This window comes from Homo sapiens, chromosome 6, assembly GCF_000001405.40.
Source record: "Homo sapiens chromosome 6, GRCh38.p14 Primary Assembly".
In the NCBI taxonomy this organism is placed as follows: Eukaryota; Metazoa; Chordata; class Mammalia; order Primates; family Hominidae; genus Homo; species Homo sapiens.
In genome coordinates this window covers 46,937,651-46,963,971 of record NC_000006.12, presented here as the reverse complement: position 1 = coordinate 46,963,971, position 26,321 = coordinate 46,937,651, and the positions used below count along the sequence as shown (strand labels likewise).

The 26,321-nt window shown below is 41.6% G+C and overlaps 1 protein-coding gene across 3 annotated transcripts in view, besides 1 other annotated feature; it reads left to right on the top strand.

Moving 5' to 3' along the window:
• Positions 520 to 1,146: an enhancer, noted in NCBI's record as "OCT4-NANOG hESC enhancer chr6:46930563-46931189 (GRCh37/hg19 assembly coordinates)". NCBI's record gives its function as "activates a minimal SCP1, AML or CMV promoter by ChIP-STARR-seq in naive H9 embryonic stem cells {active_cell/tissue: H9 hESC(naive)}" and the evidence as "EXISTENCE:reporter gene assay evidence [ECO:0000049][PMID:30033119]".
• The window catches only part of ADGRF5 (adhesion G protein-coupled receptor F5), a 102,418-nt gene continuing 85,129 nt past the window's right edge, over positions 9,033 to 26,321 (top strand). For all 3 annotated transcript variants that reach the window (XM_047418326.1, NM_015234.5, XM_005248893.4), the window contains exon 1: positions 9,033 to 9,238. The gene's annotated coding sequence lies outside the window, so the exon portion shown is untranslated. The remainder of the gene's footprint in view (positions 9,239 to 26,321) is intronic.

Genomic DNA, 26,321 nt, shown 5'->3' with positions numbered 1-26,321 from the left:
AAGTCTGTTCTACTTAATAGCCAGTATTAATAGGGCTTTGGGGAAATGGAGGACATGGGGTTCAACTGCGGAGACCAAGAGTGATGGCTAGGTGGTGAATCATTCAGGGCCATTTCCAGTGCAGCCTTCAGCAAGAATAGCTCAGAAGAATGCAACTCTCCCCCACACACCCTTATCTAAGAATCCCGTAGGAATGGAGCGTGGGAGGGTTGGGCTTTTGTGGATTTCCCGCAATACATGGGAAGGGAGATCCAGCCATTCTTTTTTTTCTATATTAAAGGAAATGCTATAAGCATCCATAGGGTTGTTTTTTTGGGAGAGAATTAAATAAGTTAGTCCATGTCAAGGGCTGGGCATATAGTAAGTACTCAATGTGTTTTTGATATTATTATTTTTATTATTATTTGAGTAGCTGGATTATCAAGTCATAAATAGATAACACATAAGGCTGAGAAGGGCTACTAAAGTGACATAGACAATATGTGCTCTAGGGTATTAATGATGGGAGAGATTACTTCTGGCATCATTTATGACAGAAAGGTTTGTGGAGGAGACAGACTTCATGCTGGGCATGTGGACTTGTTTGAGACTCTGATGAATGACTCTAGCTCCTTGCAGAAGAGGAAAGGACAAGGCTTGTTGGAGAGAGAGAAGGAGATTCATTTGGATCTGCAGCCAAGGCTAAATACAGAAGATCAGAGGAAGTTGCATTGGAAACTTAAACTAGGCTTAGACTGGGACAGCTTTGAATGACAATAGGCATTCAATAGGCAGAGTGTGAGTGCACCACAGGTATCATGGAAGGATTTTTGAGGAGAGAGTATAAAAATAATAGCAGTCCTTTAAGGAAATTAACCTAGTAATAAACCAGTAAATTAACCTGGTTATATGACTGGGAAAATGGAGTTCAGGAGTAGGACAGATGAAGGATAATTTCTTAGTGGTTTAGGCAAGAAGAGATAAATGTAGGCATGGAGTGGTGATAGTGGATATGTAAATACAGTCACATATGGAAGAGATCTGCCAGAGTGAGGATCAGCAGGTCCTGGAGACTAGCTTCGGCCTGGGGAAAGGATGTGGGGCTGGGAAAATAAAGGAGAAAGTAAAGCTGGTTATCACACTTTAGATTTGAACCTGCTAACTAGAAGAATGGTGGGTACTGAAAACAGGAGAACAGGTATCAAGTACTTTGGGAAATGCTGTTATTTAAAGAGGAATGAAGAAGAATATCCAGATGAGGAGGGAGAAGACAGGTAGAGGGGAGAGATTTTAGGTGGGGCAGGTGCAAAGAAAATGAGAGAAGAATTTCAAGAAAAAATTGACACATAAAAGTTTCGGGATGAGATAAATGAGAAGTAGAGAAGCTTTTGTTAGCCCGAAGTCATTTAAAGAGAGTGGCTTAGGGAGATAGAAGTTTAGTAGAGCTTTGAAGAGAGGAGGAAGAGTCTGGGTGATTACCAATCAGTTTTTTGAGAAGTTTGGAGGCAAACTGAAAGGGAAAAGTTAGGATGGTGATCGAAGAGTAGGAAATATTATGTAAGGTTTGTTGGTGAAGATTTTGGAATTAGAGATATAAACATATTTTCAGGCAAAGGAATTGAGGAGTAATGAGGGGGTCAAATCTCAAGAGCTAGGTTACTGAGCCCTGGAAATCTTTGTGAAGCAGCTGTGAGAACCCGGATGTGGGTTGCTCTTCAGTAATATTTTGTGTATTTCTCCACTGGTCACAGAGAGAACAGGGCAGATGGATTGCTAGGGGCCCCAGCACTGGAGTTTGCCAGTAGCACGGCAGAATGTCAAGAAAGAAAGATATAATAAAAAGTTGGCAAAGAGTGTATTTAAATAGCTATCCATGGCATCTGGGTTTCGCAGGAACGTAAGGGTAGCTTGCAGTAGTGGGAAGACTACGAAGGAGGTACAGAAGAACTGGGGCTTTCAATAAAGGCAGAGGTCCTGTAGAAGTGAGGAAAGATGGTAACAAAATATATCCCCTCCCCATCGCCCCCACAAATTCAAACTTCATCATCTATTTTGAAATTACAGCAGTCCCAGATGTTGACATTCTGGGACGCAGCAATCACAACACATGGTTATTTGCTAAAATAGGACAAAAGTCATTGGCATTGGGGAGCTCAAGGAAGTGAGAAACATCTTAAAAGGGAAGATGCAGAAATGACAGACATCAATTGCAGAGTGAGGGGTAAAAGTGTGAGCCAGGTGCCAGTATTCAGGGAACAGTGGAAGAGCAAGAATGGTGGATAAGAATGAAAGGAATGGAGGGCTGACAAGGAATGGAAATAATTTGTGCCTCTTGGGGCAGGCACGGTGACCAGAGGGACACCCAAGAAGATGGAAGGGAATCTGAAGATAGAGGCTCCAACAGGGAAGGAAGCCTTGAACTCATTCTGCATTGTGCAAGCTGGTGGGGCACAGAAATGTCTCAAGAGGAAGCAATTCAGGGTGCAGAGACCCAGGGAGACCTGCATGACCAGGGGCTTTGACATTATTACTGTAATGTCTCTTGGGTGGTGAGGTGATTTCCCACAGTCACATCTTTAAAAAGACATGGCCTCTGCTTGTTTGACTTCTCCATCTGAGTCACCAAATGGCAAAGTTTGGTGTGAAGCTGAGACCAGGGCCATCCCTTGCCTAATATGAAAGCCAGAGGTTAGAGAAATTTAGGACATTTTTTCAAAAAGCCACAGCTTCCTCCTCTACCCCTATAACAAAAAGAAAAAAAAAAGCGTTTTGTTGTATTCCCAATCCACGTTGGTTTGTTGCTGAACTCCACGAACCAAACCAACGACCCAAACAAAACAAACAGGGTTTATACTCTGATGCAGAATGCCTAAGTCTAGTTGTTAAAGACAAATTCCTTTTTACATCAACTAAATATAATCATATCCAGTTCAAACTTCCAAAGATACAGAGATTTTTAAAGCGAGTCGTCTTTGGGAAATGTTTAGGTGTAGTTATTGAGGTTTCGCACATTCTCTCGTGAACATCCTCCCTTTTAAGATGTTTCTCACTTCCTTGAGCTCTCCAATGCCAATGACTTTTGTTCTACTTCAGCAAATCACCTTGTGTTGAATAGTAAAGGGTGTATGGAGTAGACAACCCCAAGCTGTCAGTAAACGCAGTAATCAGCTTCCCTAACAAGCAGGATGCTTGTCCTTAACTCTAAGGACACGAGGTTTCATTTCACGTGGAAAGAGTGAGTGAATCTGAGATGGAGCTAAGGACAGTACTGCCATTTCATCAAGGACGGAAGATAATTATGATTGTTCCTAGGCTTCTTTTTCTAGAAACTTTTTTCTACCTCAGTTGTAAATAAAGAGTGAAAAAGAACGTGTCTACTCTATGACTCAAAATGAGTCTGTTTTTCGAAATAATAGTTTAGTGACTTCTTTCTCTTTCTTTAAAAGACAACCTACAGAGAAAAACAAGCATCTGTATTACACACCATGCAGAATTAAACATTGGTATTTTGACTTTTTTTTCTTTTTTATTTCATACATAGAATACAAAGAAAAACCTCTTTATTCCCTGTTTAGTCCTATTTCATGCCTTCTTCCTCCTAGACTGTATTGTGTAGCTTTTCAATATATAGCATTGTATATGTATTTTTTCTACAACTGATCTTTTTCCCTCTGGCTTTTTAAAAAACTTTTACATGTATTTTTCCCCATCCATCTTGATACATACAGACTTAATTTATTATTTCTGTAATAATATCAAAATTTTTCTATTAATGTTTCTATGATGCATATATATATATTTGTATTATAATTATTTTGAAGAGTGTTGCAGTTGAACACTCTTGTGTTTCTCCTTGTATATATAGGCAAGAATTTTCTAGAATATATGATGTGACTAGAAATTTGAACTATCCTGGACACTGTGAAACTGCTCTCCAAAGTGGTTTACTGAATTATACTCACCAAGCAGTGTGTGAGAGTTTCTAATTCTTCCCAAAACACTAAGCAGGATTTGAGAATCCCTAGTTCCCTAAAACACTTGGTTTAATCTATGTATGTATGTATGTCCCCTCCCTCCCTCCCTTCCTCTCTTCCTTCCCTTTCTCCCTCCTTCCTTGCTTCCCTCCCTCCCTCCCTCATCTTCCCTCCCTCCCTCATCTTCCCTCCCTCCCTCCTCTACTTCCTTCCTTCCTTCTTTCCTTCCTTCCTTCCCACTCTCCCTCCCTCCCTCCTTCACTTTCTTTTCTCTCTCTCCCCTTCCTCCCTCCCTCTTTCTTTCCTCCTTTCTTCCCTCCCTCCTTCCCTCCCCTTCTCTCTCTCTTTCTCTCCCTTTCTTTCTTTCTTTCCCTTCTTTCTCTCTTTCTTTCCCTTCTTTCTCTTTCCTTCTTTTCCTTCCTTCCTTCCTTCCTTCCTCCCTTCCTTCCTTTCTCCATCCTCTGTCCCTCTTCCTCCCTCTCTCCCTCTCTCTCTCTCTCTTTCCCTAACACCTTTAGTTTTAAGGGAAATATATGATAGCTGTCAGTTGCCCTTCTTTAGGCCAACATTCCTTTTTTCCCAAGAACAATGCTACTGATGTTTTACATGTTTATTCCTTCTTTGACGGGTTTAATATTATAGTGTCCATACTTCCTTTTTATTTTTATGTGAAATAATGAAAGTTATAGAGCTCCTTAATAGTCCCCTCTTAGAGCTCCATCTTCAATGACAAATGTGATATTAGTAGTTGGCAGAGAAAAACTGACAATGAAAGGAGAGCCTCACCTCTAATGCAGGTGAAGACAAAGCTCGTGTGTCAGTCTGTGATGGAGTCTCCCTTCACAAGTCTACTCATGGTTCTTGCAGAAAGAGCCACACGTTTGTGGGAAGTGATCTTTAAGCACCTCGTAGATCACATTTGTTGTATTATTTGCCATTGATCATTTATAGTTCTCATGATTACTCCAAAATCAAGAATCACTGTTCTCAGGAACTTCCAAACTTCCAAACTTCCACACTGAGCTGTTAGATAAGTCATTTCCCCTGCTCTAAATTACAGAATTAATGGCAAATTCATTTTGAAAATAAAAATTAAACAAAACAAAACAAAAAGGCCTTATGTTTGGCTGCTGATCTGGTACTAAGAGCTTTAGTGAGTCAAACCAAACTGATTGGCCAGACCGATCCTTAAAGATAAATTATTTTATATCTTTGATATTTAAAAATATAGATTGTAAGTCACACACACTAAAAACACAGCAAATATAAAAATTAAAGAGAAACCAAACCACACAAATATATTTATGTTTTCTGATTTATTCCTTTCAAAATGTCACTGTCCCCTATGTTGAACGCTTTGCTATAGCTGATTGATAGTAGGACATTTCTGAATAGTTGCCTATGTGGCAAGAATTCCTAAAAACACTGTCTTAAAAAATACTGAACACCTGAAATGTATGCCCTTTGCTTATCAAGGTTTTCTTTCCTCCAAGGTACTGGTTTTAGTGAGTCCAAACCTAGGCCACTTTCACCATATTTAGTAAACCCGTGTCCAGTTATTGTTTTACATAGTTCTGCTTTGGGCTTTGCCTGTACTCCTGCCCTAACTGAAACTCTGTACACACCTAATTGTTCAGCTGATATCACTTTGTCATTCACTTTCATAATCAACACACTTAGTTTATTCCCTGTTTTTATTTTACATACTCAAGGAACGTATAAAAATAGGCCAAATATTTAAGAAAACAGTTTTGCCATTGAAAATTCCTGATACAACTTGCTGTAAGCACTATCACCTGCCTTCTGTTAAAAGACCATTTTCAAAAGGTGAAATCCTGACTCCAATATAAAATGACATGTGAAAGAGATTTTATTTAACTCATTAATTAATGAAGGGAGTGGTAAAACGTTAGAACTTATTCAAAGGGAAATCCCAAGAGCAGATATATTTATATAGAGACAATCAGGAATGCTGAACTGAGTTTGCTAAGAGCTACAAAAACTGGCTAATATCCTAACGTGCACTAAAATTTAATGTTTGAAATAACCATTTCTATAGGGTGGAAGGCAATTATATATCTACTGGACAAAACTAATGTGCATTTCTATGGTCAAAAATCATTTGTATTACTATTAGTTTCTACGTCCTTCAGAATTATTAAACATCCAGTCAAAGATGATCAAATGTAGAGACCCCTATAGATTCAGCTCTCCAGCTGTAAGTTGTTTGCTAGAAAACTCTCAACACTCTGTTGACAGGACACCCAGTCATCTTTTCCTATTTTAAAGCCTTTCACTATTTTTTCTGACACTTCCATTTCCAATGGAAGTAATATCCATTAATTAGGAACCAAATTGAGACTTCATAAAGTAAGTTCAAATGATTGGCTTAATAAATATCTTTGCTTTGTTCTAGATAGATGCATATATTAAATGACAATTAAATGCACAAAACCAGATATTGAGAATCACCTATGTTTTGATTACCTTTACAGATGATAGAGTATGGGTCTTGTTACTGCAGCTTGTACTCCAATCATCCAGCCTCACCTGGGGCTTCTCACTCATATACAGTCCTCGTCAACACACAAAGTGACCTCTTGATTCAGGGGAACCATGAAAAGTAACCAGAATATATGCTTAGAAATTCCAGACGTAATATTGTCATGGAAGTATTCAAAATCATGAAATAAAAAATGACTATGTGGTTTAATAATGTTTCAAAGTCCAAACAAAATGCAGAAGCTAACTGTTGTGTTTTAAGAGCGGTCGTGGCATGTCCCTAGACCCCCTTTTGCCTTTTGACTTCTAGAAAAACAGGCTTGATTCATCGGGGAGCCTGAGAAAGTGCAGGAGAGTCAGGCAGGGTGCACAGAGCCTGCCTGTGGTGCACTGCTTCCAGATAAATGCTGACTTCACAGGGGTTTTCCTCCCCTCCCCACCACCTCACTGTTTTCTAAGCTTTGTTCCATTCATGTGCTTCTTCCCACTTCTCCTGTCTTTATCCTTCCTCCCATATCCCTCCCTCCTCTTTTCCTCTTTCCTTTCCACTGCCCCTTCTTTCTCCCTCTCTCTCCCCTCACCTCCAACAGACTCCCATTTCATTCACCCTTGCTAACTTTAGTCCTCCTTCTTGTGGGCATTATCTAAGACTTCACTTTTTGAATAGAGGTTGTTGCCTGCTTATAATAATCTCTGTGAGGCAGCAATACACAGCATATGACAAACTGCAGCATTTTCATAATATTCAGCAATAGCTCCGCAATATCACCCGTGAAGTTGCTCCACTTTGTAAAACTATAACAACAGTCTTGTGTTTTCCTCTAAGTCATATATTCTCCTTTCCCTAACATGTAATAACTGTAATTAATTTGATTTTATTTTGTAAATTAATCAAAAATAATTTGATTTTATTTTTAAATTAATCAAAAATTAATTTGATTTTATTTTGAGACCAGGCTGGTCTCAAACTCCTGGGATCCAACAATCCTCCTGCCTCAGCCACCGGAGTAGCTGGGACTTGTACAAGTGCGCACCATCGCACCCAGCAATAACTGTAGTTGATGACGCTCCTCCTCCTAACATTAAACCCACACAAACCAGACACTGCTGGGTCCTGGATGCTAGGGATATAATGGTGAAGCAGACACAGTCCTTGACCTCACAGAGGGACAGCCCAGCAGGAGACAGAGAGACAAGTAGGCAGGCTTCCTTGCTTTAGTGTTATGAGAGAGACAAGCATGGTTTGCTTGGAAGAACACCAAAGGGGCCCAGAAATTGGAAAATGCATTCTGAAGGATGTCAGATTCAAGGAATTGGATCTTGGAGGGGAGGACATACTTCATTGAGTGGAGAGAGGTGGGGAAGGAGGGAATGAGAAAGGGCATGAGGAGAGCACAGGTGAAAGTGGGCTTTGAGGGAAAGTAGAAGAGATTGGCCATTGTGCATTTAAGGGTTTGACCTATATCCTTAAGCTCCTGAAAGATTTTAAGCATGGGAATCCCACCATGAAGATGGCATTTGAGAGACATTACCCTGGTTGCTGAGAGGAGAATGGATAGGAAGTGAGGGAAAATATGGGCAAGGAGACCACTGTGTGATTTTTACTCAGTGATGTGTTTGTGGTCTTTGCCTGCTCACACCCGCAACCCAGCATCCACCCTCCTCCCCCTCTGCTGCCTTGCAGCAGCTTCCAAGTGTGCTGCTGTTGGAGGACTGACTGTCACCCTGCTGAACACAATGGAGGTAGTCCAGGTCTCTCAACAACTCAGCTTGTGAAAATCCACATGGCCCAGAGTTCCCACGTTCTTTCTACAGCCAGGACTGGCTTGGTGAGTCTACGGCCTGGTACAGTTGCATAGAGCCCTGTGCTCCAGAGAGTCCCCACACTTGCTTTAATGTTCTATTGTCACCATCTTGAAATTCTTAATTTTCAAATGAGTGGCATCACATTTTCATTTTACATGAAACCCCATAAATAATGTAGAGGGTCCTACTTCACTCCACGGATGGTGGCCTCCTGATAATTCTTTAAACTCTAAGGCAAAATGGCCTGAGGGCTTTGGAGTCAGTCCAAGATTAAGAAAGATCAGACTTTCCAAAGACAGAGCTTAGGGGGTCTTGCCTGAGGCTGGGAATGGATTCTTCCAGGGCCTGTTCTAACCTGCCTGTCATCAGCTGCTCTGTAATATGACATCTGGACTGGGGCCAGAATATGCTCCAGCTCAGTGGAAGAAGATGAGGACATTCTTGACTTTTACAGAGTTAAACACTTAGAGGAACTTCAGGAAGAAAGCACTTGGTAAAAGGTAAAGTTGGCTGGCCCATCAGCTCCTTGCCTGGGGTCCTGCTGCTTCTTTTCACAGTTCTCAGTATGTTTATTCTCTTCTTTCCAGTGGCCAGAGGACAAGTTTCCTGTTTCCTCTAGGGAGCCTGGAGAGAGGCATCAGGCACCAAATATAGGAAATCATGTGGAGAGGATCTCTTATTTATTACAGTCCCCATATTACTTCCCTCCCCCAAGCCCCCGCCCCCCACCTCCAGTCAGTCAGTGTCTCCCGTCTTCTTCCTGCAGCAGAGAACAGAAGGCAGTTCACCTCTGCTCCCGACAGCCTGGGAACCCGCAAGAGCCCCAGCATTTGAAGTCTGGTCTTGTGAAACCCCACCCTCCTCTGGCTGTGTGATTGAATGGGATGCCCTCGAGGTTCACCTCACCTGAGAGGGTTTTGGGCAGATCAGCAGTAAGGTGTTAAATTTTAGAAGCCTGAAAACTCCAGAAGAGAAAGGTAGGTACCTGCATCGTTTTGATTTGCCATGTTAAATGTGAATCCGGCTGCTCTGGAATAGATGTGCATTTCCACGTGGCTTTTCTAGCTGGCTTCACGCTCTCAACCTGTGTGTCTTGTGGAGATTTACTGATTTACAAGACTGTGAGGGGCAAATAGTGAGATGGGATATGACATATGGATTTTTCAAATCTGTACATCTTTGGATAAAGAATGCCAGCCAGTATATAGATCATGGTGTCGATTCTTATTTTCTTTGGAGTGCAAATCTCATTAGAAGTAGTTTTTTTTTTTTTTTGGCTTCTGCATAAGGGGTAATTTTTACTAACTGCCTTTTCTTTTTAATAGTATAGACCTCTACCATGATTTCTTTATTACTCCTTTCTGAGGTTTTCAGTTAAATAGTAGATTTGACAGAGAATTTGCTAACAGAAATAGGAACGGGTGTTCCTAATTTAGAGTGCCTATGTGCTATAAGAAAAAAAAAAGAGTACTTTGTTCAGGGATCTGGTGGACTTCCACATTATTTTCTAGAATTTGTGGTTAAACAGTTGTTATTCCCGAGGTTTCCTGAAATTCAATACCAGTAGTGACAACGAATATCCAGGGATGTCTCGGAGGCTTGTGGTGGTGGTTGTCTGCAGGGATGGTGCTCACTCCTTAGCTGGGTGCTCTTGTTGGTCACCATTGAGGCTCAAGATGATAGGTCACTGAGACTCAGAGAGGAGCCAGGTCTTATTTAAGTACCACTATAAATTTCTCTGGATTTTTTTGTCATCTTATGTTTTTATTGTTTCATTTTGTCTTCACAACCAGCCTTTACTCTAAGAGAAATAATTTATACAGACTTCATGGAATATCAAACAATTCATACCTATTTATTGAACATTTACTATTCTTTTCTAGCTTATTTAGTTCCGATGCTCATAATTTCTTACCACTTATGTATTTTACCTCAATACAGTCTCCCTCCATTCTATCTTCCATACCCTGCTACAGGGGTCTTGGGAATATGCAATTCTAATAATGCCACTGTCAGTGAGATATATATATATATATATATATATATATATATATATATACACATATATCTATATATATATAATTTTTTTTTTCTGAGACTGTGTCTCACTCTGTCGCCCAGCCTGGAGTACAGTGGTGCAATCTCAGCACAACCTCTGCCTCTTGGGTTCAAGTGATCTTTGTGCCTCAGCCTCCCAAGTAGCTGGGACTACAGGCACGCACCACCACGCCCAGCTATGTTTTGTATTTTTAGTAGAGAAGGGGTTTCACCGTGTTGCCCAGGCTGGTCTCGAACTCCTGACCTCAGGTGATCTGCCCACTTTGGCCTCCCAAAATGCTGGGATTATAGGCGGGAGCCATGGTGCCCGACCTCAGTGAAATATTTCTATTGCACTCTGTTGCTTACAGCCTTGCTACCTAAAGTGTAGTCCAAGGACTAGCTGCATCAGGCATCAGTTGGGAGTGATCACTTGGGAACAAATTCTTTATTCCCTCCCCAGATTTACTGAATCTGCATTTTAATCCCTGGGTGATGCATATGCACATTAAAGTTTGAGAAGCATTCACTTAAAGAAGGTAGAAAAATCAAAAGTCGGCTCCTTATCATCCTGCCAGCCTCACCCTCTCAGTATCTGACTTTGCAACTAAACTAAGTACCTTGCATTTCCCTAATATTTGAATGCTCTAATGCCTGCCTATTTCTGTGTGTGCTGTCCTCCCTGCCTGGGACACCTCTATTCATCTTCCCCACCCAATTGCCCATTAAGGCCTGGTTTGTACACCTTCATTCCCCTCCATCCATCTTCTACTAAGCGGTTCTCAGGTCTGCTATTTTTCTGGTACTTAGTGGAATGTTTTGACATATCCCTAAGCACATTAAGTGATAGTTGCTATATTTATTTTGACTCTTGAGGAGTTATTGGTCTTCTATGTCTAAACCCATAGCATTTGGCACAGTTTTGGGCACATAGCTTCTGCTCAATCAATTTTGTTAAATGAATGAATGAATGAGCAAATGAATGTGTACATTGTCTGAAAAACCCTAATTATCAGATCGAGATCTATAGTTTGAATCTTCCAAGGATATTTTTAATCCCTATAGCATTTTCCCACACTCTTCTTTCTGAAATGTTGCTGGATTCATTTACTCACCAAATATTTTGAGTACTTTCCATGTGCCATGCCTTTTAGAATCTACTTCTTTACATCTATGTGACAGCCTCTTTCATTAGTTGTTTCCCTGTCAGTGCCCCTCATTCTCTGCCACTCGAAGTCAAGGACTCACTGAGTCCCTTTCACAGGGCAGGCAGTGTGCTATGTGCTAGGGATATGATGGCAAACAATATAGATGTGAGTCCTGCCTCCATGCAGCGCTCATCTGGAGGACTTACTTTTTGTCATCCTCTATGCTACCTCTCTTTCATGGAAGTATTAAGGAAAACTGAAATAAGCTTGATCCCTAACAAATGCTGGCACATCCAAGTAAAGGCCTCGAGAGCTTAAAGCTTGAAGTCAGTGTGGTTCAATAGAAAGACAGCTGAACTGTGCTTTGGGGCCCCACATTTGGTCCTGTACCTGCAACTATCTTGCCATGTGACCCTTGGGTGGGTCCACAACTTTTCTCTGAACCTTGAGTTTTTCAAGTGGTGAAAAAGACAGAGAGCTACAGGGGAGAGAATCCCTGATTTCAGAGTGCAAAGAGAAGACCATATCCACAGAGCCTCTGCACTCACATTCTCTCATGCTTCATGGTAATTTGGAAGGCGGTGCTCTGTATTTCTCTGAGTCAAGCCAGCTCGAAGAGATCTTAAGAGAGCCATTTTATTACTATGCCCACATGTTCAGCCATTGACATTAACATTGTGCTTTGGTAATTCCCCAACAGCACAGTTTGCCCGTGACTCCTGGAGAGCAGTGCCCTGCAACTCAGAGAAATCCATGAGACATTCATTGCTGGGTGCAGAGCTGCTTTGAAGCAGGTTAGATGAGGAGGGAGGAAAGGCCTCCATTAAGCAGTCCCTGCTTTAGGAAAGCAGCCAGGAAAAGAGGAGGAAGTAGCTCTACCAAGTGGTGCAGGAAAAACCTAGAAGCACGTAGACATATAGCCAGTTCCTGACATCATCCCTCACTGCAGCACAGCTAAAAGGATTCCCTTTCTGACTACATGTGGTATTCTCCTTTTTCCACCCAAAGATTTGTGTCTTAGCCATATTTCACCTAGAATCAAATGGTGGAGAAGGGCATAGTATCATTTTCCCCCATGCTTTGCCCTTCCATAGAGCACATGGACACTTGGGAGAAAGCAAACAGACACAGCCAGCAGGTTTAGGCTGAAGTAAACTGCCGAGGCGCTCTCAAGGGACAGCTATTTCTGTCTTCCAGCCTTCTTCTCTTCTCCCTCCATTGTCCAGAGCTTCCAAATGAGATGCCTCCTGCACCTCTAGAATCCCTTCTTGCTTCGTGTTGCTCCTATGCCTTTCTGCCTCCAGGCTTCCACCATGCCCACCTTGTCTACAGCTGCCTTTCAGCAACTGAATGTTTTCTGCTGGTAATTTCTTACCCACTCAAGTTCACCTTAATCTCTGTCAATAAACACACGTCGTAATAACAAAAGGGATATTAACCTGCATGAGAGGTTTCCAGTGGCCTGCCACAGATCTCAGGCTATAATTTGAGATCAGCCTGGACTATATCTGGCTCAATATTTCTTTTTTAATGAGAGGCATGTTGTGGGCTAGAAAGAGGCAGACCTGGTTTTTAATCTCCTGTCTTGAACAAGTGATTGTATCTTGCCAAGTCTTTGTTTCTGAAAATATGAACTAATACTTAGTGCACAAAGTTGTAAGAAGATTAATTATCTAAAGTGCCAAATAGGTTCCTTTAAAAAAACACCAAGTCAGCCAGGCGCAGTGGCTCATGCCTGTAATCCCAGCACTTTGGGAGGCTGAGGTGAGCGGATCACGAAGTCAAGAGATCGAGACCTTCCTGGCTAACACGGTGAAACCCCGTCTCTACTAAAAATACAAAAGTTAGCTGGATGTGGTGGTGCTTGCCTGTAGTCCCAGCTACTCAGGAGGCTGAGGCAGGAGAATTGCTTGAACCCGGGAGGCGGAGGTTTCAGTGAGCTGAGATTGTGCCACTGCACTCCAGCCTGGCGACAGGGCAAGACTCTGTCTCAAAACAAAACAAAACAAACAAAAAACAAAAAACACCAGGTCTTAAAAGAGGAGGTTGGCCAAGATGGTGAAAATGAGAAAACTGTCATTCACCAAACAGTTGAAGGATCATTCAGGGGACAATTAAAGTAAGAAGTACATCTTGAGCACATGAGGGCTGCTTTTAAATATTTAAAGGTTGCTCTGTGTGGGAAAAGGGAAGGCCAACAGAAGATCAATGGGTGGAAATTATAGCGCAACAGATTTCAGCTCAATGTGTGGAAGGATTTACCCACCATCAGAATCATCTAAAAATGAGTGAGCTGCCTTGTGGTGTGGTGAACGCCTTGTCCCGGGCAATGTTCCAGCACCCTGGAAGATGGACTAGTGGCCAGGGTGTTCCCAAAGGGATGCCCATAATGGGTGGAGTCCGGGTGATGACCTCAAAGGTCCCTTCCCGCTCAAAGCTATCAAGAGTCTCGTGATGTCAGTGCGGTGATCCAAGCCACCAAATGAAGGTCTGCAAAAAATATCATCAGGCTAGAGTGAGGATAGCTGACTTTTCACCAGCTAGCCCTACCTATCTGCTGCAGTAAGTTTAAAATAGGGTCTTAGTAACAATGGAGTAGGCTGGACTTCCAGGAAAGAGCAAAAAAGAAACGAGAACAATGAGGAGGGAAAACTTCACTGTAAACCACTCTTCTTGGGTTACTCTTTAACTAAATTATGGGTTACTTCTTGTGCTGCAAACACATTCCTATTTGATGGAAAACTGCCACATTTCTGTACATTTTCAGCTCAAGTAGAGTCAGGCAAATAACAGCAAGACTCAGAGCTTTGGCCCTGATTTCTCCTCTAGCTAAAATGGAAATATGACTACATGGATATGGGTTCCTAGCCATTCCGAGGTCTAACTTTAAAATGTGAAAAAGAAACTGATTCTACCATCTTCTAAGTTGCAAGGACTATGAATGGAATATTTGACTTTTGGAGAGAGAAGAAAGCTGGCTGGAACTGTCTGCCTGCTGTGAGTCAAGTTCACTGGCCACTGCCTTCTACCCATCTTTCCTTTTCTGCTACATGAACCACCTCAAGAGCAGTCTCTTTGTGAAGTAGGGATCTGGAAACTTTTAGAGAAGTAAGACTTAGGCTTAGGTAGACCCTATACACATCAGCAACCACTCCAGGCAGCCCCAGAGCTTTCTGTTAATACTTTATCCTTTGTGGACTCAAAGAACTTGCAGTTCTGGACCCTCACATGTTTCTGACCATGCTTGGGCAGCATCTCAGCATGCCTTTGCTTTCTTCAATCTCACTTTGAGATCCTGGGGGAAGAAAGCAGCAGTCCTTTCAACAGAAACAGTTATAAGCAAATGCTATATGTTTTCAGACCGAAACAAAGCCATGATATATTTTATTCTCAAGGCTTACCTAAGTTAGCTTTCTTAAAAACACTAATTAAAAAAAATCCTTTGAAATGTAATCAACTGTACATGACAAAATCATAGAAACCCTTGCAGACCAGGGTATTTATTTTTAGATGCGCATCAGCCTACCCAGCATAGCAAAGCCACTGTCTCATGTCCAAAGCATGGCCCTGGGAATTTCCTCTAACAAGGCTGTGTTTCCGCCCATTGTTGTAGCACAAAGGACAGAAGGAGGCCTGAGTAGAGGCTCATGTTAACCCCGCCTAGAGTAAAATCTGGAACCTGTCATCACCTCGGTTGGATCAATGTGGTCTTGAGGGCTGGGGTCAAGAGGGAGATTGCCCGCCAACTCTGGACAGATGCAAATGAGTAGTCATCCAAAAATATTCCAGAGACCGGTGACGGCAATTCAAAAGTAAAGCGTCAGCTTTCTTTTTGTAGTCAAGGATCTAAATCTCACCCGTACTGTGAAGTGAATTCTGGTCTAGACCTGAGACAGCGATGCTGTTTGAGGATCTTGGCTTGAATTGCAATTAATAAAGTGATTTTAAGAATATTTTGTTTTAAAAAAGCCATAAATCTGTGTACACACAGCCCCAATAAACACACACATACACACACACACACACACACACACACACACACACACACACTCACTAGAGCAAGTATCAGATACCTGAATCACCCAGAACTTTACTATTATTCTAGGCCAGTTTCTGATCCTTTATTTATTCATTGATGAAATGGGCATAACAGATCTCACATCCTATTAGTTTGGGGATAAATAAGGTATAATATTACAAATAATCTCACCCAAACTAGACTTTTGCTTAAGTTTTTGCATCTTGGTCCTAACATGTTTTGAGCTTCTTACAAGAAACTTGTGCACAAATATTTACTGTCAAGTCTCCAGGGGTTTTATTTGTTTGTTTTGCTACTACAGGAAAAGAAGGCCAATTTGTTACTTAATTGGCACACTTTACAAGCAAAGCTTTTCATGCCTTTGTCAAGTTCCTTCTACTCCTGGGGAAGGTCACTGCATTATTACTCAAAGTTGCAATGCTCAGGGCTATGTCTGGGGGTCTCCGTGAAAGATGAAGAGGTGGGTCTCAGGTCTGCACACAGCAGTCCACACACATCCTGTCCGGTGTTGAGTCTGTGATCTGCATTCCACAGCCCCATCACCACCCCTGCCCAATCAAAGGCCCAAGGAGCAAGGGGGACCTGCACGTACAAACACCAGCCTGAGCAGGGACTGGGTTGTTGGCCTCTGCTGGCAGGTGGATGTCCAGGTCCCCCCTCCAAGGTCCGCAGATTCAGGAAAATGTGCTGTAGCCCTTTGGTGAGAATGTGAGAATGTTAGTAAAAATGCCTTCATGGATTGTTTTGTTTGCAAGTGTTTATTATCAGACACCCCTCAGAGGTTCACAGGGCAGGTTGCGAATGTCCGAAGTGGGGCCTGGGAATTTCCTTCCACAAAGCCTGTGCTTCCTCTCTTTGTTACTCCTCAAAGAACAAGTTGGAGCATTACTAGAGATCCTTACTTAACCCTTTATCCTGCCCACCACTTCTTCGTTTACATTACAGAAAATTCACGCTGCCAGCCATCTAAGGAGCAAAAAGATGTTTGGGTTTTGGTAGTGGTGTGCACCCGCAGATGTGCACATATGTGTGCATTTGTGTGCATGAGTGTGCATATGTTTGTGTGTTAATGGAGAGGAAATAGGTAAAGCACAAAACGTATTGCATTTTAAAAGGTTTTCATTCAGTGTTATGACATGCAGCCATCATTGGTCAGACCAGAGAACACTTCTTTCTTTATCGTAATATGTATTCCCATATGCTAAAAATGATGACTCAATTGCAGTTCCCTGTCCCTAGGGAAGGGCTATCTCAGAATTATAGTTGCTTTTCACCTTTGGAGTCTACTTATTGGCTAAAGCTGGGGTATAATGAGTTGAAAGGTATTTCAATCAACTAAGAATTATTTATTGAATATATTCTATGTGTCTGAACTCTACTAGGTACTAAGAGAAACCAGAGATTCTGCCTGCAGGAAAATTCAAGACCATATATTTATACATATATACAAACACACAAACTCAACGTGTTGCAAATGAGAGTGCAAAGAAGCCAGATATTTGTATGGTCTAAGGCCAGTAAAGATTAGAAGAGGGACATGGGCCCTCACTCAGCCTGGAACTCTTCAATTATCCCCAGAGACATCTTTATGGTGTCTTCACCGTCCTTAAATCTCCAAGCACTAGCGAAGCCCAGTGTGTGCACCATGCACATACACATGTACACACTTGCACACACAGCCTGCTCTCAGGAAACGGCTGTGCCTTCTTGGAGGAAATAACGCCATTGGCCTTCTCACCACCAAATCTGTGCCAGGATCAGCCTCAATACCCATCTCTTTTGCCCTCCTGTTTTGTCCCAAGGGAAGAGGGACCCTTCCCTGCCTCCAGAGCTCAGCTCTCCCGTGCTCCTGCCCTTTATTCCCATAGCCTCACTAGGCTCACCTCTTATTGGCCCTTTCCTGTTAGCATTTAATTATGCTTAGATCCTTCTCATCTTAAAACAATAGGAGCAGAAGCTCTTCCTAACCCATATTTTTCCTCAGCTGCACTTCCATCTTCATTTTCCCTCACCACAAAATTCTTGAAAGGATTATGGCGATTCACGTCTTCACATCATCACCAACCATTCACATTGTGTTCTGTCTACGCTACCCCAGTGTACCTCAGCAAATGCTTTTGCCAAGATTCTCTTTGACCTCTGTATCCTCAAATCCAACTCATTTACTGTCAGCAGGACTTCACACTGTTCTCCACTTCCTCTAGTCTTGTCCCTGCCTTCCAGGACACCAATGCTCCTGGCCTCCCTCCTTCTTCTCTGGCTGCAACTTCTCAGTTGTTTTTTACAGGTTCCTTTCCCTCTGCCATTTCCTCAGCTTCCCAATGGCTATAACCGGGGCCAGCCACCTCTTCTCCATTCATTCTTTCTCCCTACTGTGGTTCATTCCTCTGCCTGGATTTCTCTTTCCTGCCTTCTCTGTTGATATAGTTTGGCTGTGTCCCCACCCAAATCTCACCTTGAGCTGTAATAATCCCCACATGTCAAGGTTGGGACCAGGTAGAGATATTTGAATCATGAGGGCAGCTTCCCTCATACCGTTCTCATGGTGGTGAATACGTCTCATGAGATCTGATGGTTTAATAAATGGGAGTTCCCCTGAACAAGCTCCCTTTACTGCCACCATGTAAGACATGACTTTTCTCCTTCTCACCTTACACCATGATTGTGAGGCCTCCCCAGCCATGTGGAAATGTGAGTCCATTAAACCTCTTTCCTTTTTAAATTCTCCAGTCTCAGGTATGTCTTTATTAGCAGCGTGATAACAGACTAATACATTTGTCAAGTAAACGATCCTCCTAAGCCCATTTTAAATGTCACCAAATTACTTCCTTTTCACAGGTCACCCCATCCCTGTGCAGAACTGATCTCCCTGCTAAGTGCTTTGCAGCACTGTCCCAAGCCTGTTTTACAGTGCCTTTTGTGTTTGAAATCTCAGTAATTGTTCACATGCACTTCTTTCCTAGGACATAGGGATGCCATCTTATTCATCTTTTTACTCCTCGCCCCTAGCACAGTACCTGGCACATTAGGTTTTTAATCAGTATTTCATGTAGAGTTAGGAACGCAAAAGTGTCACTTAAGTGATTTATCTCTTCTTTAAGTGAAATAACATCTTGTTCTCTTTCAGGATGGATGTGTTCATCCATTTTAATTTTAATATAATTTTTGAAACTTTAAAGCACTCACATATAGGTTACTAACAAACTTCTACCTTTTTCTTAAAGTCAAAATCACAATTCTTAACACTTCCTATATGAGTTTTAAAGTCCTGTTTAAAAGCAGAAATGAATGACACTTGGACTTCACATTTTATTTAAATCATCACTCAGGCAGAATTTCCAAATGTGTCATGAGTGACACTGCATATTCATGCACCTGAGGTGGGGTTGCCATGGTATAGCATAACTAATATTTTTCAAGATCGTCACTTCACTGCCAATGCTGGTGTTGCATAAATTTTCCACAGCGCACCTGCAGAACTTGTCTACTCTTCTTTCAAAGCCATGGAGATTGATTTACTGACCTGTCTGAAGGGGAACAATGGTGGCCACAGAGAATGAGCCTAAGCACTGAGCCAGTACAGATTCCACCCAACCTCCTGTCTCCCAGAAGTTCATAAGACAGGGATGCATCTTAGGGTACAAGGCCAGAGGTTCACTCAACTCTGGGTGGCAGATGGTATGCTACACCCTCTGTTGGACTATGAAGATAAAGTATGTGCCCTGCTCTTTATTTTGAAAGATCTCATCCTTTTAAAAATCTCTATTTTGGGTTTTTGTAATAATAGATGTATAATATATTAGTATAAGAGAACCGTAATGACATATTTTATATGACATATTTATATTTACATGGAGATGCAAAGCACAGTTTGTGCAAGTGTGGTCTAGAGATGAGCAGTAGATAAACTGGCTGGATGCTGATCAAAATGCATATCTCTGGGCTCTACCTGAACCTATTAAATTGGAACCTGTGTGTGTAGGAAGATGGGGGTAGGAGCAGGACAGGGAGCAATGCTGCAAAATCTGCATTTTTCAACCAGCACCTTAGAACAAGAGTCCCCACCTTGTGGGCCATGGACTAGTGCCAGTCAGTGTCCTGTTAGGAACCAGGTGACACAGCAGGACATGAGCCATGGGAGAGCCAGTGTTATTGCCTGAGCTCCACTTCTTCTTGAATCAGTGGTGGCATTCGATTCTCACCGGAGCTTGAACCCTATTGTGAACTGTGCATGCGAAGGATCTAGGTTGCATGCTCCTTATGAGAATCTAATGGCTGATGATCTGAACGGTTTTATCCTGAAACCATGCCCCTGCTTCTCCCGCTTCTACTGGTCTTCTAGAAAACTTGTCTTCCATGAAACCAGTCCCTGGTGCCAAAGAGGATGGAGACCACTGCCTTAGAAGTACTTCCAAAGTATGATGCACATTTAGTTAGGCATAAAAAACAATGTTTAGAAAATATCTACCAGCTTTGTTTAGAAAAGTGTTTACACTGGTGGCAGAAGGGTCCCTCCCTGTATTTCTCTGGGTAGGTTAATGATTTTGCAGTCCAGGCTTATGTTTGCAGGAACATTCTTCCCGCTGAATTGTACCCTTGGTCTGGACTACAGTTTGGAAGAGAATTCTGTATCGCTTTGTACCATCCTTTGAACCATCGTATGTTTAACCTTTCATTTATGTTTCAGCAGCCTATCTTGAAGCATAATATGGTATAGTGACAAGAACTGGGTTTGGGATTCATAGTCTGCCTCAAATTTTTCAATTTGCTAGACTTTCAATCTATGTAGATTTTAAACCAGGTTTGGCAAGTTGTTTAACCTTTCTGAGCCTCCTTCTCTAAAATGGGAGTAGCTAACTAGTTCATGGTGTGTTGTGAAAATTAAATGACATTGTGCATTTAAAAAGCTTGTTAAAAAACACTCAGCAGAGACCCTGTGATGGAGGTGGTCCTCAACAAGAGATAGCAATTAAAAATAGCAATAGTATCATCATCATCACCAACAACAATAAACTTGCTGTAAGAAAGAAATCATCCATAAGTTTCCCAGCATTAAGATAGTATTCTGCACAAAGTAGGTGCCCAGAAACATTTGTCCAGTGAATGAATATCCTATTTGTGAATATGAATACATATATTGGGAAAAGTATAAGATTTAAAAAATAAAAATCTGTAACCAAACTGCCAACACAACATGATGTGTGACTGTAGATCGAACCTCAGCTGCTCTTGACAAAACTTAGCAACTTTCTGCAAAAATCATCCATTTTCTCAGAGATGGTCTACAAGTTCTCCTTACTTACTTTAGCAGGCAATTATGCTTGTTTTTTTTTTTGTATGTGTAAGTTTCATATCTGATGTAAATTTCTAAATCCAGGTTTTTTTTCCTCTTTTGACTTGAGACCCACCTTTAGTCAACAATTTCCTGTGTCAATTTTCAGGGACATGCAGACTTTATTTATTGTAATGGATTATCCTTCAAAAACAAGACTTATAATTGAGGAATTGGTCAATGCCTATAGCCTATTTACTGATATGCACTAGGTCCATTTTTAAACCCAATAACTCAAACCACCAAACCAAATCCACACGCATGCATGAGTGCATGCATGCACACACGCAGACACACGCACACATCTCTCATGGTTATGCATGTGGGATCTCAGCTGTGGACTTGTAAAGTAGTATGTCAAAGAAAGAGAAAAAGGAAGAAAGAAATATTAGCAGTCTAGAGATAAAATAGGCATATTTAGAGAAAGAAAGAGGATGAAAGAGAAATAGAGAGACTATGAATGAAAAGTGTCCTATGTGCAGGCTTCTCATGACAGAAGCATCTTAGTCTTAGGATTTTCTGGTCCATTTTCTTCCTAGCATGGAGGACTTAATACTCACAAGTTCTGCTCTAAATACTTAATTTGGAATACTTCCTTTAATATGAGAAAATTGCACCGTCTCTCTTTTACACATAAGAAAACTGAGGATCAGAGAGATTAAGTAACTTACCCAAATTTAAGTAGCTAGAAGTGGTAGAACTAGGACTTCAACCCAAGAGCCTCATGCCATAGCCCATGCTTTTACCCTCTTAAGCATCTCTAATAGCGTGCTGCGTTAGGGATTCATTCATAACAAACACAGATTAAGCACCTGACTACTCTGTGCCAGATACTGCGCTAAGTGCTAGACACAAAACAGTAGATAAATGAGGTCCTACCCTGGGGTGGGGTGTGAGGTGGCAGTATCACAGGACAGTGGAGGAGCCCATAAATAGAGCATTGTAATGCAGTTCAGCAGGTGCTTTGACAGGGGGAGGAGGTGATGGGAGGTGTACACACTACTAGAGGGAGTCAAAGGGAGGCTTCTTACAGGGAATGACCTTGACCTGGGCCTTGAAGGACAGTGAGAGTTGGCAGACTGGAGAACACAGTGCTTGCAGGGTGCTAAGGATGTTCAGAAAGGTAAAGTAAGATGACAAAAAAGGAGTAATTAGCTTGACTGTGGTCATCACTTCACAATGTATACATATAGCAAAAAAGCATGTAGCACACCATAAATACACTTTTTATTTGTCAGTTGTACCTCAATAAAGCGGAAGAGAAAAAAGGAAGGAGTAGGAAGAGGCGAAGCTGGCTCTTTAGGCAGAAGCCCTGATAATGAAGCATCTCGGCTGAAGATAATTATGTGTGGGGAGAGAAGAGATGGCCCACAGATGAACCTAGCAGCCCATCTATCTGCCAGTGTTTTTCTAAATGTATGCAGAGGTTCTGATACAGCTGACACAGGCCTGGGGACCATCAATAGTTTCTCAAAGTGAGAACCACAATGGTAAAAAAAAAAAAACCATGCTCTATCTCAGTGGTTATTAAACATTTGTGCACATCAGAATCACCTGGACAGCTTGACAGCTTGTTAAAACACTGGTTACTGGGCCTCACTTCCAGAGTATTAGATTCTGGAAGTCTGGGGTGGGCTCTAGAATTTGCCTGCCTGCCTTTCTTTTCTTTCTTTTCTTTTCTTTTCTTTCTTTTCTTTTCTTTTCTTTTCTTTTCTTTTCTTTTCTTTTCTTTTCTTTTCTTTTCTTTTCTTTTCTTTTCTTTTCTTTGTTTCTTTCTTTCTCTCCCTCCACCTTTTCTCTCTTTCTCTCTCTCTGTCTTTCTTTCTTGACAAGGTTTCTCTCTGTCACCCAGGTTGGAGTGCAGTGTCAAAATCATAGCTCACTGCAGCCTGAAATTAGTGGGCTCAAATGATCCTCCCACCTTAGCCCCACAAGGAGCTAGTATTACAGATGCTTGCCACTATGCCTGGCTTTTTATTGTTTGTAGAGACAGGGTCTTTCTGTGTTGCCTAGGCTGGTCTGAAACTCCTGGCTTTAAGGGCTCCTCCCACCTTGATCTTCCAAAGTGCTAGGATTAGAGATGTGAGCCACTGAGTAGGCCTAGAATTTGCATTTTCAACAAGTTCCCAGAATGTTGGGGGCCCACATTTTTGAACCACTTCTCTGTCTACTGAGCAGACTCTGAGTGTGAAGCCAAGAACTTAGCCAGAACTATTTGAGTGATTCTTAGGCTGCACTAAAATTTGAAAATTCTTGGGAGGAAGAATTACTAAATCCCTTATCTTCTTTGCTGTAAGTGCTCCTTTAACTTTTAGTTATTTCTGTAATTTAAGAAAATCCAACCCAAATATTCCTGATATTCTGGTTCATTTTTGTCTGTAAGGGGTCAAAATATAAGGACTTTTAGGGATCTTTGGAATTTTAAAAATCAGCCCTTTGAAATTTCTCTTTGCAAAGCAGGAAGTCACTTGTTGCCCAAAGCAAACACTTGAGTCAAGCGTTTGCCTCTTTAGAGGGCTTCAGAGCTGTGGCTTTTTAGCACACTTCTCTGCCCTAGAATGGTCTGAATCTGAGTCTTTACAGGATGGGTTATGCAGGTGGAAATATGAGATCTGTGTCTCTTGAGTGTGGCCAACTGGCTAAGGCTGAAATATATCCTGAGGGCTGTTATTTCCTCCATTGTAGATAAGGCAGGAGGAGGCTGGGAAATCCAAAATGCCCTCAAAAGAAGGAGAATTGGAAGGATGGATAGGGAAGAAGAGGCCCTATGTGCTTCTTGTCCCCTTTGCTTACCAGAATCCAACAAAAAGCAACTATCTTCTTTAATGTCATGGTCACAAACTAAATTTCTCAAAACAAATATTTAGAAGTAAAAGATCGATGTGAAAAGTATAATAGCAAGTGGCTCAATTAATCTTTAACATGAGTGATGAATCAAGAGTTGCACCCCTTCACCCCAGGTTATACCAAAATCCGTGCACACTCAGTCTCAAAGTAAGTCCTGCAGAATCTCACATATAGGAAAAGTAAAAGTCAATCATTAGTATTGTTGGTTTAGCATCCAAGGAAAACCATATTTTTCAATCGGTGTTTGGTTTCAGATACAGAACTACAAATACCAACTGTATGTATTGAAAAAAAAAATCCACATAAAACTGGGCCCTTGAAATTCAAACTCCTGTTATTCAAGGGTCAACTGTAATTGAAAATCACAAGGAAATAAGTTCCTGTGAGCATTTTATAATCATTCTAGTAGTCTAAACTCCTCCATCTATAGTATTAAAATGTAAATGCCATTGAGAATATCTGGAAGTAGCTGGAAATCCTCATTCATCGAAAGTGGATTCAATTCCATTTACAATCTCTATTATATACAGAAAAAATGGGCTAAATACATGCTTGAAGATTTTTCAGCACTACGTAAATTTTCACCTTTAGTATACCAGTAAAATTAATTAGTTGAAGCTCCCCATTCCATGTCCTCACAAACAAAATTCAACCTTTAGTGAAAGTCACTTTTGAATTTTGAAACAATGAGTTCAAAAGGAAGCTACTAAAAATAATTGAAATTAACAGTGATTGTATAAAAAGGAAATAAACAGAAAATTACTTTTATTGGGCCCAAGAGACAATACATTTTAATTAAGTTACTCTTTCTCCTCATTTGTTTAATTTTCACACACAGATTTTAGTTGAAGTCACATATACTAATTTGTTTACCTACTTATTTACTGTGTGTCTTCACAAGTCTCTACACTCTTCTCAAACCAGTGCCCTCCTGTTTCCTGTGCCCCTCCACACCTTGAGCCCACCTTGAGCCCTCCTTAAGCTTCAGCCCTGCCTGTCCCCAATCCAGATACCCTGAAACTGGCCACTCAACGAACCATGTTAAAGCAAGATTCCTGCCCCACAGGTAGAAGAGAACCACTAGTTAAAGGAGCAAGCAATGAGTCCCTGGGATTTTTGCTTTTATGTAATCAGAAAAGGCTGGGCGTGGTGGCTCACGCCTGTAATCCCAGCAACTTGGGAGGCCCAGGCTGGGGGGATCACGAGGTCAAGAGATCGAGACCATCCTGGCCAACCTGGTGAAACCCCATCTCTACTAAAAATACAAAAATTAGCTGAGTGTGGTGGCACTCACCTGTAGTCCCAGCTACTTGGGAGGCTGAGGCAGGAACATCACTTGAACTCAGGAGGCAGAGGTTGCAGTGAGCCAAGATTGGGCCACTGCACTCCAGCCTGGTGACAGAGTGAGACTCCATAAAAAAAAAAAAAAAATCAGAAAAGTAGAAAGAATGAAAAATAAGGCTAGTTTTGGGGAGAGGCTTTGTGAAGGACTCTGTGGTAGAACATGTGTGGTCATCTTTAGATTTGTGGTTTTCAGAATTTGGTTTGCACAAGAGTTACCTGGAGAGTTTGTTAATGATGAAGATCTTAGGCCTGTACCTTGAGACTCTAGGCGGGGGAACTCACAGGGGGAACCCAGAAGTCCTGGTCAGGGGACACCCAAAGGGTTGATTAAGCACCTTACCCATGTGAATCTCTGCAACCTAGTGCAGTGATCACTAAGGTGCTGATCCCCATCCACCAAGATGCTCCTTCATCTGGTGGGATTAGGGGGTGAACTCCAAGATTTTATCACTGGCTTAGAGGACCAGTCACTTCCAGTGGCCTCACCTATCAGAATCTGTTGCCTTTTTCACAGCAGCCCCCAAGTTTCTCATTCTCATTGGCTTCCAAGATGACTGAAAGAGCCAAAAAATACAGAAATAGACAAGTGCTATTTGCCAGTCAAAGGTGTTTATCAAGGGTTAGAAGAGTGTGGGAGGAAGATACCACACTCAGCTCTGATTTGCTTCTTATGAGATAGCAGGTGATGGTGTCTGAGGCCAGCAGAAAGGAAGGGAAAGGGAGGATACTGCTGTAGAAGGCACCTGGAATGTTATTCTTCTAGCAAAGACTTTTCAGAGTGAACACTGGAATTCATTCTGCAGGCTTTCCAGAATTAAAGAATGTACATTTTTCCCAAACACTAAAATTAAACTGTAAGTCATGTTTATTCATAAGTTACATGTAATAGGAAACATTTCTGGTATTGATAACTCTGAATCAGTAGACCCTACCCCCCAACTTATTAGCAGTCTTGCTTTCTGTGGTTTCAGCCACTCATGGTCAAGTGGGGTCGATAAATATTAAATGGAAAATTCCAGAAAAAAAATTTATAAGTTTTAAATTACATGCTATTCTGAGCAGCATGATGAAATCTCATGCTGTTCATGCTGCCTTACCTGGAATGTGAATCATCGCTTTGTCCAGTTTATTTCTGACCATTGGTCACTTAGTAGCTTTCTCAGTTATCAAATCGACTGTCAAGATATGTATTGCAGCACCTGTGTTCAAGTGACCTTTATCTGACTTAATAATCGCCCCAAAGCACAAGATTAGTGATGCTGGTATATTATATAATTGCTCTATTTTATTGTGAGTTACTGTTGTTAATCTCT